Consider the following 21695-nt stretch of genomic DNA (forward strand, 5'->3'; position numbering starts at 1 on the left):
GGTAGGGAAAATAAATTTAAAAGGTCTATTGTACAACATGGCAATAATAGTTGATAACAATTCATTGTATTTTTGAAAATAGCTAAGGGAGTAAATTTTAAGTGTTGTCACCTCAAGAAAAAAACAATTAGTATATGAGATAATGCCTATGTTACTTAGCTTGATTTAGCCTTTCCACAATTTATACATATGTCAAAATGTCAGGTATACAATAAGCACATATATAATTTTATTTATCAATTTAAATAAATAAATCAAAGAGCTATTACAACTCTTTAGGTGGTAGGTATGACAGGCATTTTAAATCTTCGCCTGTGATCCTAACAGCAACTATATCTAATAGGAATTGTTATCTCTATTTTATGAGTATACTGAAGCTCAGGGAGTTAAATAACTGGCTTTCATTTAGCTGCCACAATATCACTTAACCAGTAAACTGAGGCTATATATGAAGAACAAGGTCAACTATCACAAAGGATGGTCTCTATTGAAGCAGGCATAAACTTTCGGTTGCTGAGCTGTGAGAATGCCTAAGAGCTGGTACCATGAAACCCAAAGTGGTCTTGGGCTTCTGGCAACACATATTTACTTGTTAATTAATCTCTGCAAGTCATACATTTTTGTCTTGGTATTACACCTCGAGTACAAGTGCAAAAATTTCTCTAGGTCAAGACTAGGATCTGACAACATTTTGTATCATGATATTTTGTATAACACTGCTGTAAAATACAGATTCTTATCCATAATAGAGAACCAATAAATATTTGCCAACTGATTGTTAGAGACAAGAAATATTTACCCCCACAGTATTTATTTCACATATGCATTACCCTTATGTTTGAGAAAAATGGAATTTCCTCATATTGTCTATGTGGGTTGAAATGACTGATCTGTATTATCTATTTTGTTTTTACACTAGTTTCTACAGAAACAGTTACATTTTGAAGGTATGGAAAGTTTTTATTTCTTGATGTTTTCCCTGAACAGTTTTTGGCTTTTAGCTTTGGAACTGTTCCAATGGAAATACTGGTAACCAATTAAGATTTGGTAACCCAGTATCTTTTTTTAATATGATGACTAGTTATATGAACACAGATTGGTGATAAAAATATGTTTAAGAGAATAACAGCAGATTTGTCTCACTAAGTTGAATTGAATATCAGTCATATCTGATGTGATGGCATCTCATTAATAGGAATGAAGCATTTATAATAAAATCAGTGAATATGAACTTTTATTTTACAAAATAAAAAGTCACTAACAATACCCAATCAAGTTGTCACACTAGCCTATGACCATTGACGTTATTCTTTATTATAGAAATGAGTAATAAAAAGTCTCTCTCACACACAAAGATGTTCCAGACTTAACACTTTCCTAGCTTCTCATTGTCCCAAGGATCCTTTTTAATCTTTTAAATAGGATTTATAATGCCCTTTTTGATAAGATGTAATGTGTCAACCTGACTGGATGACAGGGTGCCCAGATATTTGGCTAAACATTATCTCTGGGTGGGTCTGCGAGGGTGTTTTTGGATGAGATTAACATTTGAATTGGAGGACTGAGTAAAGCAGTTTCCTCTCCTCAGTGTAGGCTGGAATCATCCAATCCTTTGAAGGCTTCAATCAAACAAAATGCAGAGGAAGGGAGAATTCACCTCTTCTGCCCGACTGCTTGTGCAGTCTTCTCCTGCTGTCAGACTGAGACCCATGCCATTGACTCTCCTGGGTCTCCAGCTTGCAGACAGCTGATCATTGGACTTTTCAGCATCTGTAAGTACATGAGCCTAATTCCTCCTAATAAATCTTCCTCCATCTTACCTCTTAGTTTCTAGACCATCAAAAAAATAAAGTGAAATTTTTAAAAACATAAAGAAAAAAATAAAGGCCATTTCCTTTCTACTTTATTCAAGAGAAAATTATGAAATCACTACTCTACACCAGGCAATACTCAGGAATGTGGAGATAATACATTGGTAACCTCATGGAGCTTATACTCTAGATGGAAGAGAAAAACTTCAGTAACAAGTAAATATTGATATATAATACATTAAAGGCTGACCTGTGACAAGAAAAGAAAACAAAGCAAAATAAGAAAGATCAGAAGTATGGGGGTAAGGGAAGGTGTAATTTTAAATAGAGTGGCCAGGGTAGGTGCTTCTGAGATGATATTTTGAGCAAAGACTTGAAGGAGACTGGGAGATAGCCATGGAGATTTTTGAGAGCAAGGCCAACTTACCCATTAGGCACAGCAGGCACAGAGCTTAGGGCCCAAGATACTTTTAGGAGCGTATAAAGATATTTTACCTTCTTTATGAGTCAGAAGGGAAAAAATGAACTCTTGGGGTTGGAGATAATGTTTAAGTGTTTACCCTGGATAGATGATAGTTTTTTTCTACCAAAACAATTCCTAAATATACATTTTATATACGTTATATTGATTATATATTGTATACACACATACGTATACGTGTGTGTGTGTGTGTGTGTGTGTGTGTGTGTGTGTGTGCATAAAACATATATTTGTTTTTTGATGAAACACAGGGCTAATAGGGCAAGGACCTAAGGCCCAGGAATGTCATAAAGCAGCCCTATTTGAAAACAGTTTCTAGTCAACAGTTGCCATTATCATCAGAATGGAATACATTAATGAGATGTAATTGGTATATCAACTAGAAATAGTTTGGGGAAGAATTTGTAGGGCTTTTAGAGACTTATAGAACCAAAAATCTTTATCATTTAAATCCTAATATTGTACCTTAATTCCTCAGTTATCTAATTAGACCTGAATAGGTGAGTTACAATGGTTAAACAGCATTTTTTTCAGTTGATAGTCCACATATTTAATATTATTTCTTGTCAGTTTTCCCAGTATCTCTGATGACAGTCACTTGCATGGAAAGCCCTCCATGTACTTTATACAGTTAGTACAGACAGCCTTTAAAAAATAAAAAACTCACCCTAATGATAAAAGTAGAAGAGAATTGGTGGTAATTTATTTCAATGAGCAAATCATAAAATGGTGATGAGGAGTTAAATTTACCGGATTCAGAATATCCCAAAGGCCAAGAAAAAAGTGTACTTCAGTCTCCACAGAGAAAAGAAAGGAAGGCAAAAAGAAAGATGAGAAATTAAAATGTTTGGATGGCAAAAACAAGTGATGAAAGATAAGGAGCCAGGAAAACACACAAAGTATCACCAACTGAATTCAATAATTAATGGGCATTTTAAAGTAGAGGTCTGGTCAGCCGGGCGTGGTGGTTCACGCCTGTAATCCCAACACTTTGGGAGGCTGAGGCAGGCACATCACCTGAGATCAGGAGTTCAAGACCAGCCTGGCCAACATGATGCAACTCCGTCTCTACTAAAAATACAAAAAGATTAGCCGGGCGTGATGGTGCACACCTGTAATCCCAGCTACTTGGGAGGCTGAGGCAGGAGAATCACTTGAACCCCAGAGGCGGAGGTTGCAGTGAGCTGAGATCATGCCACAGCACTCCAGCTTGGGTGACAGAGTGGGACTCCTTCTCAAAATAAATAAATAAATACATACATACACACATACATACATACATAAAAATAAAAAATAAAGTGAGAGGTCTGTTATTTTTGTGGAGGTTTTGGGGAAATTTAAAATTCCATTCAGGTTCAAACTTTTTTTTTTCTTTCTCATTTTATTTTCAGTCCCTATATTCCTTGTGCTTTAAAATATGAGTTCCCTATCACCTAGTAATTAAATTCAAATTCTATAATTAACTTATAAGAAAACTTTTCTCATCAGTTTTTAATAAATGTACTGAGTTAATCTCTGGGTGGTGCTGGTGGTGAATGTGAGGTGGGGGCTGGGGATTGAGATTGACTTGCTGGCTGATTGATTGACTAATTCAGGACATAGCAAAGAAGAGGACCATGGGTAAGTCCTGAAGCAAAACTACAGACAGCAGAAACAGGTGGGCTTCCTTTCATACAATTTCTGACATGGATTTTTTTTTTTAACTGCTCTTCAATCTCCTTTATTACCGTATCCTTCAATAATCTCTCCCTAGGTTCCAGCCTCTATTCTACCATAGGTTTACAGATACGGAACAGTATCATAGATATATAACAGCAAGTTTATCATCTTTAACACTTGTTAAATAAATCAAAGAGTAGCAATGGGACAAGTGGTGCCTAAGAGAAAATGGAGGAGTCAAGAAAAATAATACGTATTATACAGAACTGTCTTGAGGACTCAAGAGAGTATATATCTACATCTACATAATTATGTATAGCAAATGTTGAAATAAATTAGTGCTTACTTGACATGTTTTTCTTCTTTCATCCTTATTTCAATATCAGAAAAACTTTCAATTAAAAGAATAAGCCAAATGTGCCAGGTTAGTGGTGGCTACCCATAGCTAAATGGAACATGAAGAAGCTATTCAGAAACCCTTTCTTTCCAGTCTCCCCTCGTCTATTCTCCCATGTACATTGCTAAACCTCTCTTAGACTTTTATCATAACAATTACAATATTGTCTCCATCATGACTATGAGTATTTTAATCTTCCCTCTTAATTGTATCTGTTTAAAGTCCCCATCTTATTTACTTTTGTGGACTGCTTGCTTCTAAAACAGTGCCTAGAAAAGTAAAGGTGCATAGTAAGTATTTGGTTAATTGAATTAAATTTGAAGAAATTAATTTATTCCTTTCATATGTTATACTTCAGAGCCTAGGAAATTTATTTCATGGTTAAAAGGTGTAGCATACATAACTTTATTAAGTGGCGACTCAGAGATAATGAAACATTTCTCAATGTATTTATGATTTGCCAATTCTTGGGAAATGTTCTATTATTAATAGATTTGTCACACAGAGGATCAGGAGAAAAAGTTGGCGAAGAGACTTCAAGGAGAAAAGAGTACAGAACTAAAATTGTGGATATCACTGGCATATGGATTTGCCCCTCTTCACTGAACTCAAAGGACACTCCATTCTCCTGGAGAGTTATTTGTAACTATGGATGGCCAGATAATTGCCTGTTAAATAGTGAATGAAAATTGTCAGGGGGATGAGGGAAAATGCAAGTCATTTACATTCCTCAGCAGAATTTGCAAACTAGTTCTACAACTCAAAGTAGTTTAAAGGAAAGTGGGTTGAAGGGTCATTGAAAAGAGATACAACTGATAAAGGTTGATTGGAATTTCTTGTCATATTAGCCAGTTAATGATGTATTTAAATTATCCTGTAGGCGCTTTCATTATACCTTAATGTTCAGAATTTAACTCTTTTAGTTTGAAAGTCCTAGATAAATTTTTCACATTTAAAGATGAATAATTCAGATACAGGACAGAGAGTACTGCTTAGAGCTACATACAAGATGAAGAGCAAAGGGTGATCTGTTGACAAGCTGAGGAAGTCGGCAAAGGTAGGCCCTTTCTCACAGCGGCATTTGAGTTCTGCATTGGTACAGTTTTTATGATCACTTTTGGCACTGTTTTGGGAAAACAAGTACCTGTATACCCTTTGACACAGCACTTCCACCTAGAAATCTATTATTAAAAATGCTTAACATGCTCCAAGATAAAAGTACAGGTATTTTTTATTACAGTATTGTCTATAATAGCAAAATACTGGCAACAAAATAAATTCCTGGCAATATGGGGCAAAGTTAAATTAATTATGGTATAATCCAAGCAACTAATAGCATACAACAGATAGAAAAAAATTACGTGAAAATCTATGCATAAAATATTAAGTGAATAAAATAAGTCACAGAGTAATCTATAGTACATATGTTTTAAAAATCCTTTATATGCCCATTAAAAAGGTACAAAAGTGGCAGGCATGGTGGCTCATGCCTGTGGTCCCAGCACTTTGGGAAGTCAAGGTGTGTGAATCACTTGAGCCCAGGAGTTCAAGACCAGCCTGGGCAACATGGTAAGACCCTGTCTCTACAAAATACAAAAAAAAAAAAAAAATTAGCCAGGCATGGTGGCACTTGCCAGTGGTCCCAGCTACTTGGAAGGCTGATATGATTTGGCTGTGTCCCCACCCATATCTCATCTTGAGTTATAGTTTCCATGATTCCCACTGTTGTGGGAGGGACCTGGTCGGAGATAATTGAATCCTGGGGGCGGTTTTCCCCATACTGTTCTTGTGATAGTGAATAAGTCTCAGGAGATCTGACAGTTTTTATAAGGGGAAACCCCTTTTACTTGGTTCTCATTTTCTCTCTTGCCTGCTGCTTTGTAAGATGTGCTTTTCACCCTCTGCCATGATTGTGAGGCCTCCCAGCCCTGTGGAACTGTGAGTCCATTAAAACTCTTTTTCTTGGCCGGGCCCGGTGGCTCATTCCTGTAATCCCAGCATTTTGGGAGGCCGAGGTGGGCGGATCACGAGGTCAGGAGATCGAGACCATCCTGGCCAATATGGTGAAACCCTGTCTCTACTAAAAATGCAAAAATTAGCTGGACGTGGCAGCGCGTGCCTGTAATCCCATCTACTCAGAGGCTGAGGCAGGAGAATAGCTTGAACCCAGGAAGCGGAGGTTGCAGTAAGCTGAGATAGCGCCACTGGACTCCAGCCTGGTGACAAAGCTAGACTCCATCTCAAAAAAAAAAAACAAAAAAAACCCACCTCTTTTTCTTTATAAATTACCCAGTCTCAGGTATGTCTTTATTAGGAGCGTGAAAACGGACTAATCCAGAGGCTGAAGTGGGAGGATCACTTGAGCCCAGAAGGTCTAGGCTACATTGAGCTGAGATCATACCACTGCACTCCAGCCTGGCGACAGAGTAAGACCCAGTCTCAGACAAGGTGTAGAAGCATATTTTTTTTCTTTTAACTTTTATTTTAAATTCAGGGGTACACATGGAGGTTTGTTACATACATAAACTTGTGTCACAGGGGTTTTTTGTACAGATTATTTCATCACCCAAGTATTAAGCCTAGTACCCATTAGTTATTTTTCCTGATTCTCTCCCTCCTCCTGTTAGAGTAAGTAACTAAACAGACATGGGCAGGGCAGGGCAGGGCAGGGCAGGAGAGCCCCGCACACCACCAGGAATATCAGGCAACCATCAGGTGATGGTCAGGGGGTTAACTGTCTCTCGGAAATAATAATTGGTTGCAGCCGGTACCAGGGAAAGGCAGTAGAAAAAACCTGAAACTGGGCCGGGCACGGTGGCTCACGCCTATAATCCCAGCACTTTGGAAGGCTGAGGTGGGTGGATCATGAGGTCAGGAGTTCAAGACTAGCCTGGCCAACGTGGTGAAACCCTGTGTCTACTAAAGACACAAAAACTTAGCCAGGCATGGTGGCACGTGCCTGTAATCCCAGCTACTCAGGAGGCTGAGGCAGGAGAATCACTTGAACCCGGGAGGCGGAGGTTGCAGTGAGCTGAGACTGTGCCATTGCACTCCACCCTGAGTGACAGGACAAGACTCCGTCCAAAAAAAAAAAAAAAAAAACAAAAGAAAGCAAAAACCTGAAACTGGTGATTAGTAGCTTCCTAAGATCTCAGGACTTGGGCGAGTGGGCTCAACTATGCACACTAAGAGGCAAAAAGGTAGAATTTAACTGGTATATGACCTTCCTCTAGGAACACTGGACTGGTAAGAGAAGAATGCCTCAAGTGAGCATCTGCACAACTTCAGTAAACACACTGCACTTGCAGCTCCTCACGGGTGCTGGCAGGCTACTGTGCATGCAAACAGCACACCCCAAGGGAAGAATCAGGGGAGAAGGGACACGACCCCCTGGAAGCATGCCAACATATAAAACCGTAAGTCAAAGATCAGACTGCACACTTGTCTTTCAAGTTGCTTGCTTGGCCTTCTTCCAACTGTATTTCCTTCCTTTTGTTTCTGCTTTAGAGCTTTTTAATAAACTTTTGCTCTTGCTATAAACCTTGCCTTGGTGTCTCCTTCTGCTTTATGCCCCTCAGTTGAATTTTTTCTTCTGAGAAGGCAAGGATTGTGGTTGCTGCAGACCCATACATATTTGCTGCTGCTAACACTCCCACCCTCCACTCCAATAGGCCCCAGTGTGTGATGCTATCCATGTGTCCATGTGTTCTCATCACTTAGCTCCCACTTATAAGTGTGAACATGTGATATTTGGTTTTCTGTTCCTGCTTTAGTTTGCTAAGGATAATGGCCTCCAGCTCCATCCATGTTCCTGCAAAGGACATAATCTCGTTCTTTTTATGGCTTCATACTTTAAAAGAAATATGCATTATCTTGTAACGAAAGCTTCAAAAATAGTTTGTTGATGTTTGTTGTTACTTAGTAATTTTGGGTTAAGAGTTGTAACCCATAAAATTTATGGGTACATCCTCCAAAAATTTAACCCTGTGATTACCCTACAAAATATGGAGTAAAATTCAGATAAGTATTTTTGTTCAACATTCCACAGATCTTCAAATGTATACTTCCCATTCTTTATTAATATAATCAGTTTTTTAAGAGTCAAGAACATAAGTTACCAATTTATTTAAAATCATGTTCTAGAGCAACTTTTATATGACCTCTGCTACTTTTCTCATTAATCCCTATTTCTGTGTTAATAGTGTCCTATTTATAATAAAATATCTCATCCGGTAGTTTGTGTGTTACATTGTTACAAGCTACTCAGCTTTTAATGAGCTACAATAGGCAATATTTCTAAAAAAAAATTGTGTCTGTGACTGTCAAGTTTTTCAAGATGCTACTTATACTCTTCCCCAGAGATTTTCTCTTCTTTCACATAGAGATGTTCTTTCCTTCCTTGAGGTAAATTAGAAGAGGTAGAAAGGTCTGTATTTTGGGAAGTATACAGTGTGGTTCCTGCATCAGCATCACTTGGGAACATGTCAGAAACATTAGTCCTCAGGCCCTGCCCAGACCTGCTGGATCTGAAACCTGGGGTGGCAGGGTCTGAGGGGGCAGGACTCAGGACTCTATGATAACAGGCTTTTTAGGTGATTCTGAGACACACTCAAGTTTGTGAACCACTGAGATATAGACCACAATGAGATTTTTTTTTTGTAAAGGAGATGGTGCTTTCCTATTTAGCTTCCTCTTTCATCACTTAATTATTTCAAAACCTAGAGCTACATGTAAAACTATACATCTTAAATTGACTCTTCTGTCATCTTCAGCCCCTAAGTACCTCTGTTTTCGAACCTTCAGAGTTGTTTTCTTGAATACCTTATATTCCCTAATGAGAATCAGAACCTTTTGCAAAGTATGAAAACAAAAGATTTGTTTAAAAAAACATTTAAGCAGGTTTTATTATAATTGCATGGCTAACAATAATATCTCATTTTCTATACTGAGTAGAAATTAAATTTGTGAGGCTTCACACACAGACACAAAAATACTAAGAGGGAAAACACTCCATCTTACTTATGTTACTTGGAAAGGCTTTTGGAACCAAAATATTTAGTCTAGATTTAAAAAGTTAAAATTATTCCATTATTCTCTCTAAATCCAGAGATGTCAAATAAAACCAAGTTAAATCTAAATTTCAAAAAGCATGATCAAACAAGATTTTTATAAATATTATTTTAGAAATAAGTTTTTTCTACTACCTGCTCACAGAGTCAGTGTGTAATTGTTTCAAATTTAATGAGTGGCTGGAAGGAATCACTATATTTAATTTTCAAGTAACACATAACCAGCAAATGCCCCTGAAAACATCACTTGGGAGGAAGAAATGTTTTTTTCTTTAAGAGCACAGTGGAAAGTTAGCACCTACTGAGTGGGAAATATTAATCACTGAGTTTTGTGTTGTTCTCCTCTCCAAGTAGTAAGAGTCTGAGTAACTTTCTACTTCTTTAGTATACTACTTGGAAAGAAAATAGAGACCACAAGAAAACCGCAAACTTTTGAGAATGATTTCAGCAGCAGACTCTGAAAGGGCAAGACATAAAATTCCTCTCTTGAGTTCTTGGGGTTTCATGTAAATAAGACTTCAACATTGGACGATACTAAAATTCTGATTCCAAGTCCTACCTCCCAATTGAGTTGTCAGTTATTCCAATTTAACAGACCTGAGTCAGAGCCCAGTAATTTGCATTTTTAACAAATATACTGAGATGATTCTGATAAGATGGTAAAGAGTCCAAACTTTGAGAAAACTGGCCATTATTTGATGTCTCCTTAGCTCACAAGAATAAGAAGCTGTAAGTGTAAGTAGTAGTTGGTAGATTTGAAATGCTAAGCTAGGATTTTCAAAAAATTGTTTTTGGAACATTAGTTCTGGAATGTTCCAGGATTCATGTGCCAAAACCAAAGAGTTCTGGGTCAAAATGTTAAGAAAATGCTGCATTCCAAATATTCCCTTTGGGAATTTGATTCACAAAGTCCACTAACATATGGAAGGCCCTTGAAAAGTACCTCGATTTTTTAAAAGTTTTATATTTTGCTTAATAATTAAACTTCTTTGCAAGAAAAGGTTTTTTTTTTATCTTTATAAATTTAGTGACATTTCCCCAGAAGAGTTTTGTGTTATTATTATTACTTTTTTTTAATAATACTTATTTGGAACAGGTTAGGCTAATCTGTAAAATTCAATCCTGTTGCCAATAGAAAGAAAACATGTATTAAGTAGATGAGTGGGAAAAAAAATGGTTTTGGGCGTGGACCTAAATCAGGAAGCTTCTATAATCTCTCCATCATAAAAAAGAGCAGAATTGGCGTGGCACAGTGGCTCGAGCCTGTAATCCCAGCACTTTGGGAGGCCGAGGCTGGCGGATCACCTGAGGTTGGGAGTTTGAGACCAGCCTGACCAACATGGAGAAACCCTGTCTCTACTGAAAATACAAAATTAGCCGGGCGCTTTGGCACCTGTAATCCCAGCTACTTGGGAGGCTGAGACAGGAGAATCGCTTGAACCCAGGAGGCAGAGGTTGTGGTGAGCTGAGATTGCGCCACTGCACTCCAGCCTGGGCAACAAGAGCAAAACTCCATCTCAAAATAAAAAAAAAAAAAGGAGCAGAATTTATATTCTCTTCACTCCATCTTTGCACACCAGAGAATGCAAAACAGCACTCTGGTGAGAGAGAAGAGCTGCAGAGTCAAGAAATTTGCAGATTAAGGGCAGTTAACACTAATAAGTAGTACTTTGGACAAACACAACTCAGTGTGTTATCAAAACACTTTATGTTGACTTCCACAGAATTTATGCAGTTGCATAAGATTTATCCCCTCCAACTAGAAAACTCTGAAAGCCTTGTGCCTTTTCTGATCACTCTTTCATGATAGAAGTATTTTGGACTTGGTCTTAATTCAGGAATTTAAAATGTCCAGTCCAGTACATTAACAATTTTTATCATACAATATACATTTATGTTACTGTATATTATATAGTATATTATTATATACTATATAATAGCATATACACTATAAAATTATCATTGTAATAACAGCTTGATCTTCATTCAAAAGTAAGACTTCACCATAAACCTGCCCAACCTCCTCATCTATGACTCTGTCAATGGGAAAAACTGTGTGGACGCTTCCTTCTTTCTCACTTATCTTATTCTTCAGCTGCTCTTGTGGAGCCTTCAGAGGTTGAAGCACCAAGAAGGAGAGAGGGAAGAAGAGAAAAAGAAACATACTTTCTTATTTGAGTAATATACTGTATCTTACCTTCACACTCTGAGCCAGGTGGATGCTTGAAAATGCTTCCTTGTTTTATGGGCATTCCCATTTCTTGGAGGGACCTGTGCTATCTCCTCTGACTGAGACTTTCAGGCACTGGGCAGTACATTCTCTCACCCTGGTTTTGCTCCTCTTTAGTGCAGATTTTCAGGTGATCTGCTCCCCTACGACTCACTAATTGGAGTCCCATTGGCCCCCCATGTGACCCTCTTGGATAAAAATCAAAATGGCTCTCGTCTTGTTTGTTTCTCCTGTTTGCCCCCAGTCAGGTTTATAGATTGACGCATCCTCTACCTTGGTAAGTCCTGAGAGTGGAGACAGATTTTAAAACGATAACATCTTTGCTTCCAAAGCAGCTTGCTAGCCTTCCTTGCCCTCTAGATTTCATGAGCAGATATCAGAACAGTCCATTGTGTCTGCCATTCACCTAACAAGTTCTCCATTAGCCTATGGAAGCACCTCTTTTAAATTTGAAATCAAGTAGGCAGCATCCCACTTCCTTGGGTGGGTAGGTGGAAGAACTTAAAGCACAGAGCATGCTCTAGCCCAAGGAAGATTTCCAAATTAACTGTAGGATATCCAGTTACATTTGAATTTCAGGTAAACAACAAATGATTTTTCTTAAATATAAGTATGCCCCGTGCAGTATTTGGAACACAATTATACCAAAAAATTATTTATTGTTTATCTGTGGGGTATTTTATCTGACATCAACCAATTCTCCAGCCCTCCAGATACCAACAAAGTGTTGCACAAATTCTGACTCTAAAGTTAGTGCAGACCCCACAATGAGGCAGCATCATTGTCTAAGGTAGATACCTGGGGTTTGTCATCTCACACCAAGAAGATTAAGGACATAGACGCACACGAGGAGTGGGTTTAGGAGTGGAGGTTTAATAGGCAAAAAAAAAAAAAAAAAAGAGAGAGAGAAAGGAGAACAGCTCTCTCCCTTGCAAGACAGGGGCTTCCCAAAAGAAAATCCATCCAGCAGTGGACTGCACTAGATTTTATTGGCAGGCCTGAAGAGGTGGTGTCTGATTTACATAGGGCCCACAGATTGGTTGGATCAGGTGTGACATTTAAATAGCACTGGGAGAAGGGTGACCAACCCATCCTGATCTTATTATCCAAATGGGCTTTCCACTTGGCCGGTGCCATCTCGTCTGCGCCTTACTGTACACGTGGCTTGGCAAAGAGAAGGGAAGATGGAGCCACCATTTTGAACATGCCTACTCCCAGGTAGCCTTTTCCCATTGGCACAACGGCCGCATTCACCAGTGCAAGCTCCCAGCTTGCTTATCGGTCTGCAGCTCAATTTTACAGGCTGCCCTTTATTAGAAAAGGAAATAATTTGGGGGCTGCTTTTCATTAAAAGGAAAACCTTACCAAGGACTTTCCTTACCCTCACTAGCTGCCTAAATAATTTCTTTTTAACTCCTATAACGACAGCATAAGGTCTCAGGACCACAAGGCTGCCCCCACTTCAGAAACCAGCCGCAAGTCCCAGGTTTTCTGTACTTCTGACTGAATGACTATAAATTAGAGGTTCCTATTGCCACCTCCTCAGGTTCAATAATTTGCAAGAAAGAACTCAGGAAAACAGTTGACTTATGTTAAAAGAGAAACCTTAGACAAATTAAATTTCACAATGTTTAACTGAGAAAAGAAAAATCTGCAAATCAAGCAGCCTTTGACCAAGAATAGGTTCAGAGAGACTCTGCTGCTGTTGCATGATAGGAGAGGATTTATGGACAGAAAAAAGAAAGTGACATACAGAAAACAAAAGTGAGTTACAGAAACAGCTAGATTGGTTACAGCTTGGTATATGCTTTATTTGAGCCTAGTTTGAACAGTCACCCACTCTTGATTAGCTGAAGCTCAGTGATTGTCACAGGAGTAGGTTACAGAATGTTTACATATCAGTTAGGTTACAGTTCATGACATATGGAGAAACCTTTGGGCCAAACTTAAAATTTGCAAGGAGGCAGCTTTAGGCTAAGCTTAATTTAATACTTACTTTTACTAGCTTATTATAAAGGATACATCTCAGGAACAGCGAAATGAAAGAGAGGCATGGGGCAAGGTACTGGGCGAGCTGGGAGGTGCACAGAGCTTCCATACTTTCCGGGTTTGCAATCCTCAGAGCATCTGGATGTGTTCACCAACCCCAAAACTCAGCAACTCAAAAGTTTTTATAGCATTTAATCATCCTTCTCCCCCCAACTTCCAGGAGGTCCAGGGGTGGGATTCAAAGTTTCAGCCTTCTAATCACTTTATCTTCCTGGTGACCAGCCCCGTCTTGAGGCTAGAGACTCTACCTCCATTACATTTTTAGACAAACTAAAATGTGATCAAAAGAGACTTTTTTAGAATAACAAAAAACATTCCAATCACTCAAGAAAATCCAAGAATTTTAGGAACTCTGTGGTAGGAACCAGAGACAAACACTAAATATACTTCTTTCTGTACCATAATCTGAAATTCAATGTAACTGTGTAATCACCCAACAGGTTCTTCTTGCCTGATGCATGGATAAAATCAATATACTGAAACATGGCAGTATTGCAGTAGAGAAAGTGTTTAATTAACACAGGGTTAGGAAAGTGGATTTATTTATTACTCAAATTAGCCTCCCTTAGAACTCAGAGGCTAGGGTTTTTATGGATAATGTGGTAGGCAGGGGGCTGGGGAATGGGTGCTGCTGATCATTTGGGGATGAAATCATAGGAATGTGAAAAATAGTCCTCATGTCCCAAGTCAGCCTCTGGGTGGGGCCCACAGGACCAGTTGACTCATGAGTCACAGGCCCAAGTGGAGTCAGTCAGTTGCCTGAATGCAGAAGTCTGAAAAACATCTCAAAAGACTAATCTTAAGTTCTACCTAAGATGGTAGAACCTCATATAGATAAGTGGTGTTATCTGTAGGAGCAATTGGCAAAGACACAAATCTTGTGACCTCAGGCCACATAACTCCTGAGAAGTGGGGGTTATAGAAAAGCAAGCTAGGAAACAGTGGCTGGTAATCATTTAACCTTGCCTATATCTTAGCACAATTCAGGCCTCTCCCATAATCCTAATCTTGTGGTTTTACAAAGGCAGTTTCATTCTTAGAACAAGGAAGGGGTCAGTTTTAGGGCGGGATATTATCATCCTTGCTTCAAAGTTAAACTATAAACTAAATTTCTCCTGTACTTAGCTTAGCCTACAACCAGGAATGAGCGAGGACAGCCAGACTATGAGGCTAGAAGCAAAATTGAGTCAGACATGCTAGACTTCTCTTGCTCTCATATTTTTTGCAAAGGAGGTTTCAACTGGACATCCTGTATTTTTATTTGCTAAGTCCAACAGCTCTACACCAGATAAATCTCTTAAATATTTTCCTTCCATAGCCACTCTCCAAATATTTTATCCTCTGAAATTGGCTGATGGTTACAAGAGATGTGAAACCGTTTCTCTGGATTTTTTAGCTCACTCTGCTTGAGCACCTTACTTTAGAATTTCTTATCTACTGTGCCCTGGCACATTAGTGGAAACATAATTTAGCAACCTGTCATGCTAACTATTAGCAGTAGGCACTTTGCAGAACATTGGAGATGGCAAATCCTTATAAGAATACTCTATTTTTAAGTGGACTTTGAACATTCACATTAGAGACTGTTTGAAATAACCATAAGGGCTCTGACACAAAGAATTAGTATCCAAGTAACAAACAGCCTAGTATGAGGACAGCATAGTACACAAAGAAGTGAATCAGCAGATACTAAAATGAAAACAAAAGATGGAGATTACAGAGCACACAGGAGCAGCTAGCTAGCTCTGTTAGCTATAGCTATAGTTTCCTATCACTTTCTTAAAGAACATTAAAATTAGTATAAGAACAAACATTCAACATTTACAAGTTTTGCATGTTATATTAAGTTTATTTTATTTTCATTGTGAATTGTCTGCCATTTCTAATGAATCTTTTTTGTTGTTGTTGTTTTCATAAAGAACCAAGTTTTTAAACTCCTGCAAGTATTATTACAGGTGTATATCTGAACCCATACATAGCAGTCTACACCTTGCACCCCATATTATTTTCTGGGCTAATTTCTGTTGGTGAGTTTTGGAAAATGTTTAAGGACCTCAGGTACCAAATTGAGGTAATACAGTTAAGATAAACTCTCAGAAAAGATCTAAGAATTCTACCTGTGTTAGAAAACAGGATTCGGGGATTATGAAAAGATGATGACCTATGCACAGGTCACTTCATATCTTTGCCAATGTTCTTTGGGGATGGTTTCCTAGATGTGTAATTGCTGGGTCAAAAAGTAAGTGCATGTGAATTTTTACTGTTGTCAAATTCTACTCCATAACTGTAGAAATGTATGAGTGTCTGTTTTCCCAGTCTTAGAGCATATGATAAAACTTAGATTTTTGTTAATCTGATAGGTGAGAAACGGTACCACAGGAGAGTTTCGATTTGTGTTTCTCTCATTACACGTGAAGTTAAGCATCTTTATAGGTATTTAAGAGCAATTTACATTATTTTTTCCTTTAGTCTAGCTTTCAATTAGGCATAGGCTTTTCTCAATTTTTAGAAGGATTTCTTATCCTTCTAAATCCTTATATATTATAAGGATTATATATTATATCCTTAATATATTTCTTACATATTAATCCTTTGTTTTTAAGTAGAAATATTTGCTAGTTCGTGATTTGTCAATGATATTGGATATTTTGAATTACATGTAGAAGTTTTTGCCACTTCTGATTTTAAAGAAAATTATCCATATATGTACATAGTTTTCTTGTTTATACCAAGGGCTCTAATCCTATAGAAATTATCCTGGTTTCTGATGTGAAGAATTGATTGAATCTTTCCTAATCTTATCCCAAAATATACATTGAATTTGTTATTTTTCACAACCAGTTATTTAATTGATAGTGCTATTATTGGGGTTTTTTGTTTACTCTTTATTTCTACCTTTTCTTTAATTATTTCATTCTTCTGAGTTTATTTGGTTTTTAATTTAAATTTAAATAGCTACATGTGGCTAGTGGCTGCTGTTTTTGATAGTGCAGCTTAGATTACAGCAACATTGTCATAATATTGATGAGTTAAGTCGTTCACTAGAGAGAGTGAGGGCATAATAGGCTATGGTGTTAGAAGGCAGGAATGTGGTTATTTTTGTTGAGGATGGGTAGTGACCAGAAGGTGGCATGAGGGGGTTTCTGGGGCTTTGTGATGTTTTGTTTCTTGATCTGTCACTGTTCCATAAATATATTCATTCTGTAAAAATTCATAGAGCTGTGCCTTATAGTTTGCACACTTTTCAATATAAATTAAAAGAAAGAATATACTAAGTGGAATTTATTTTAGTCATGCGAAGGTGTTTCAATAATAGTAATATACCATATGATTTTTATAGTTGACGTTTGATAAAATGTAGCACTGATTCCTGACAAAAACATACAATAAAATAGTAACTGATACATTCTTTCTCAATATAAGCATACCTCAGAGGTATTGCATATTTGGTTCCAGATCACGTCAATAAAGGAACTATCACAATAAAGTGAGTCACACAATTCTTTTGGTTTTCCAGGCATAATAAAAGTTATGTTTACACTATATTTTATTCCATTAAGTGTGCCATAGCATTGTGTCTGAAAAGTCAATGTATATGCCTTAATTTAAAAATATTTTATTGCTTAAAAAAGCCAACAAACATCTGAGCCTTCAGTGAGTCATAATCTTTTTTCTGGTGGAGGGTCTTGCCTCAATGTTGATGGCTGTTGACTGATCAGGGTGGTGACTGATACAGTTGTGGCAACTTCTTAAAATAAGACAACAATAAAGTTTGCTACATTCATTGACTCTCCCTGTCATGAAAGATTTCTCTGTAGTATGTGACGTAGTTTGATAGCATTTTACCCACAGTAGATGTTCTTTCAAAATTGGAGTCAATACTATCAAACTCTGCCACTGCTTATCAACTAAATGTGTGTAATATTCTAAGTCCTTTGTTGTCATTTCAATAGTGTTCATAGCATCTTCACCAAGAGTAGATTCCATGTCAGGAAACCACTTTTTTGCAAATTCAAAAAAGCAATTTCTCATTCTTTCAAGTTTGATCATGAAATTGCAGCAATTCAGTGACACCGCCAGGCTCCACTTCTAATTCTAGTTGTCTTGTTATTTCCACCACATCTGCAGTTACTTTCTACATGAAGTCTTGAACCACTCAAAGTTATTCATGAAGACTGGAACCAACTTCTTTCAAGATATTTTTATCTCCTCCCACAAATCAGGAATGTTCTTAATGGCTTCTACAATAATGAATCCTTCCCAGAAGATTTTCAGTTTACTCTTCCCAGATCCATCAATGGAATCACTATGGCAGCTATGGCCTTTCAAATATATTTTTAAATAATAAGATGAAACTGAAAACTGTTTCTTGATCCATGAGCTGCAGAATGGATGTTGTGTTAGCAGGAATGAAAACAACCTCAATCTCTTTGTACATCTCCATTAGAGCTCATAGGTGACCAGGTGCATTGTCAATAAGCAGTAATATTTTGAAAGAAATCTCTTTTTTTCTGAGCAGTAGGTCTTAACAGTGGGCTTACAATAGTCTGTAAACCATGCTATTTTTCCAGTAGCATGGTTATAAGAGATGCACAGTCATCCAGGCTTTGTTCCATTTATAGAGCACAGGCAGAGTAGATTTAGCATAATTCTTATGGACCCTAGGATTTTTGGCATGGTAAATGAGCATTGGCTTTAACTTAAAATCACCAGCTGCATTTTCCATTGACAAGAGAGTCAATTTGTCCTCTGAAGCTTTGAAGGCAGGCATTGACTTCTGCTTTCAAGCTATGAAAGTCCTAAATGGCATCTTCTTCCAATAGAAGGTTGTTTTACCAACCTTGAAAATCTGTTATTTAGTGCCACCACCTTCACCATTTATCTTAGCTAGATCTTTTGGATAATGTGCTCCAGCTTCTAGATTAGCACTAACTGCCTCATCTTGCATTTTTATCTTATGGTGATGGCTTTTCTCCTTAAACCTCATGAACTAACCTTTGCCATCTTCAAACTTTTCTTCTGCAGCTTCATCACTTCTCTTAGCCTCCATAGAATGAAAGAGAGTTAAGGCCTTGCTCTGAATTATGCTTTTGCTTAAGAGAATGTTGTCACTGGTTTGGTCTTCTAACCAGACCACTCAAACCTTCTCCATATAGGCCATATGTGTTTTCTTTCACTTTCTTATTATTCATATGCTTAATGGAATAACACATAAATAATAAGAAAGTGAAAGAAAACACATATGGTTGATATGCAGAAAGTTTAGTTTGCTTCTAGAACTTTTCGTTTGCATTCACAACTTGGCTATTTGACACAAGAGGCTTAGCTTTCAGCATGGTTTCCTTTCTAAGCTTAACCATTTCTAACTTTTGATTTAAAGTGAGAGATGTGTGTTTCATTTGAACACATAGAGGTCATTGTAAGGTTATTCATTGGCCTAATTTTAATATATTGTGTTTTATGGAATAGGGAGGCCTGAAGAGAAAAAGAGGTGGAGAATAGCTGGCCTGTGGAGCAGTCATAACACATACAGCATTTGTTGATTAAGTTCAAGGTCCTATATGGGTGTGGTTTGTCTCACCCAAAAACAATTAGAACAGTAACACCAAAGATCACAGATCACAGATCACCATAACAAATATAATGAAAATAACACAACTAGACATGCTTTGAGAATTACCAAAATGTGATTCAGAGACACAAAGTAAGCATTTGCTACTGGAAAAATGGTGCTAACAGACTTGCTTTATGTAATGTTGCCAAAATGCTTCAATTTGTAAAAAACACAACATCTGTGGAATGCAATAAAGCAAAAAATACTAAAACAAGGTATGCCTGTATGTCCCTCACTTTAAAAGCCAACTTCTTATTAAGAAATATGAAACCCATTTCTACTAAATAAGGCAAATTTACCTATCATCTGCAATATTAATGTAATTAGACAATATAACATACTTAGTAATTAGAACTGTAATGGAAGTGGCAAAAATCTCTATTATAATTGCATATTTGGAAAGGTCAAGAGAATCAAAGGAAAACCACTGCAAATAATCAGCAAATTTAGTAAAATGGCCATATATAACACTCATATTAGAAAACTGAAAATTTCATGTATGTAAAAGTGAGTATAAGAGCAGAGAAGATTCTATTTAAAATAGGAAAAGATAACATAAGAGTTTCAGCATAAATGTACAAAAGCTCAAGCAGATGCAGCGGTTGGGGGGGTCTCCAGGGATTATCGGAATTTAATCAATTTGAGCCATCAGCCTATTTTACAGCCTCCTACTCTGCAGCCTGTTTTTCCCCAAACCTGGTAGGAAATGTGGTCACTTTGTTGTCTGGAACCAGCTCCTGACAGACCTAGCAACTTATAGATGAGCCTGAGTGAACTTCCCTCATTACCATGCTAAAGTTTCCAAGTGGGAGGAGCTATAGCTTCATTAGCATAACATGCAACCTATGTGCTGGCATGATGACTCACTGCATCTGCACAACTGGGACCCCTTCTCTATATGTGATGAGACCCTCTCCCCATCCATTACCCCATGAAACCCTATTGTCACTTTCCCTCAGGCAGATTGTTTTGGGGAATACTCCCATGTCCTCCTTACTTGGGCCAAGTAATAAAACTCTTACTGGTCAAAACCTGTTGTCATGGAGAGTTGTTTGTTATTTACTAGGTAAACAAACCCTGGATTTTTTTCAGGTAACAAAAGTAGACTTGAACAAAGAAAAAGGCATGCCATATATTTTAGTACAAAAAATCATTTTAAAGAGATTCCATTTTTCCTAATTTATTTCATGGTGTTATTGCAATCACATTTAAAATTTTTTTTTTCTGTAACTGGAATGGTTGATTATAAAGTTTAAAAGAAAAAATAAACATAAATGAATAGCTATAGAGTTCTGGGAATGACAAAATCAATGTGGCAGAAGTGTTGCGGGGTATTTCTGGGGAGGAAGTACTCACCCTATGATATGTTATAACATTTTTTAATATCATTATAATTAAAACGCTGTGGTATTGGGGTGTGAATGTGACTTATCAGACTAATACTTATCAGAACCAAATAGAAAAATCCAGAAAGAGACCCAGGTATATATGAAAATTGATGTATGATCAAGAAGATATCTTAAATCAGTATATTGAATTTACTGGCACACTTAATGGAATAAAATATAGTGTAAACATAACTTTTATTATGCACTGGAAAACCAAAAGAATTGTGTGACTCACTTTATTGTGATAGTTCCTTTATTGACGTGATCTGGAACCAAATATGCAATACCTCTGAGGTATGCTTATATTGAGAAAGAATGTATCAGTTACTATTTTATTGTATGTTTTTGTCAGGAATCAGTGCTACATTTTATCAAACGTCAACTATAAAAATCATATGGTATATTACTATTATTGAAACACCTTCGCATGACTAAAATAAATTCCACTTAGTATATTCTTTCTTTTAATTTATATTGAAAAGTGTGCAAACTATAAGGCACAGCTCTATGAATTTTTACAGAATGAATATATTTATGGAACAGTGACAGATCAAGAAACAAAACATCACAAAGCCCCAGAAACCCCCTCATGCCACCTTCTGGTCACTACCCATCCTCAACAAAAATAACCACATTCCTGCCTTCTAACACCATAGCCTATTATGCCCTCACTCTCTCTAGTGAACGACTTAACTCATCAATATTATGACAATGTTGCTGTAATCTAAGCTGCACTATCAAAAACAGCAGCCACTAGCCACATGTAGCTATTTAAATTTAAATTAAAAACCAAATAAACTCAGAAGAATGAAATAATTAAAGAAAAGGTAGAAATAAAGAGTAAACAAAAAACCCCAATAATAGCACTATCAATTAAATAACTGGTTGTGAAAAATAACAAATTCAATGTCATTAGCTAACCAAATTAAAACAAAAGAGAGCAAGGGAGAAACAACACAAATACCTTACAACAGAAATCATAATGGAAAAATAACTA

This window comes from Homo sapiens, chromosome 2 (assembly GCF_000001405.40).
Source record: "Homo sapiens chromosome 2, GRCh38.p14 Primary Assembly".
In the NCBI taxonomy this organism is placed as follows: domain Eukaryota; kingdom Metazoa; phylum Chordata; class Mammalia; order Primates; family Hominidae; genus Homo; species Homo sapiens.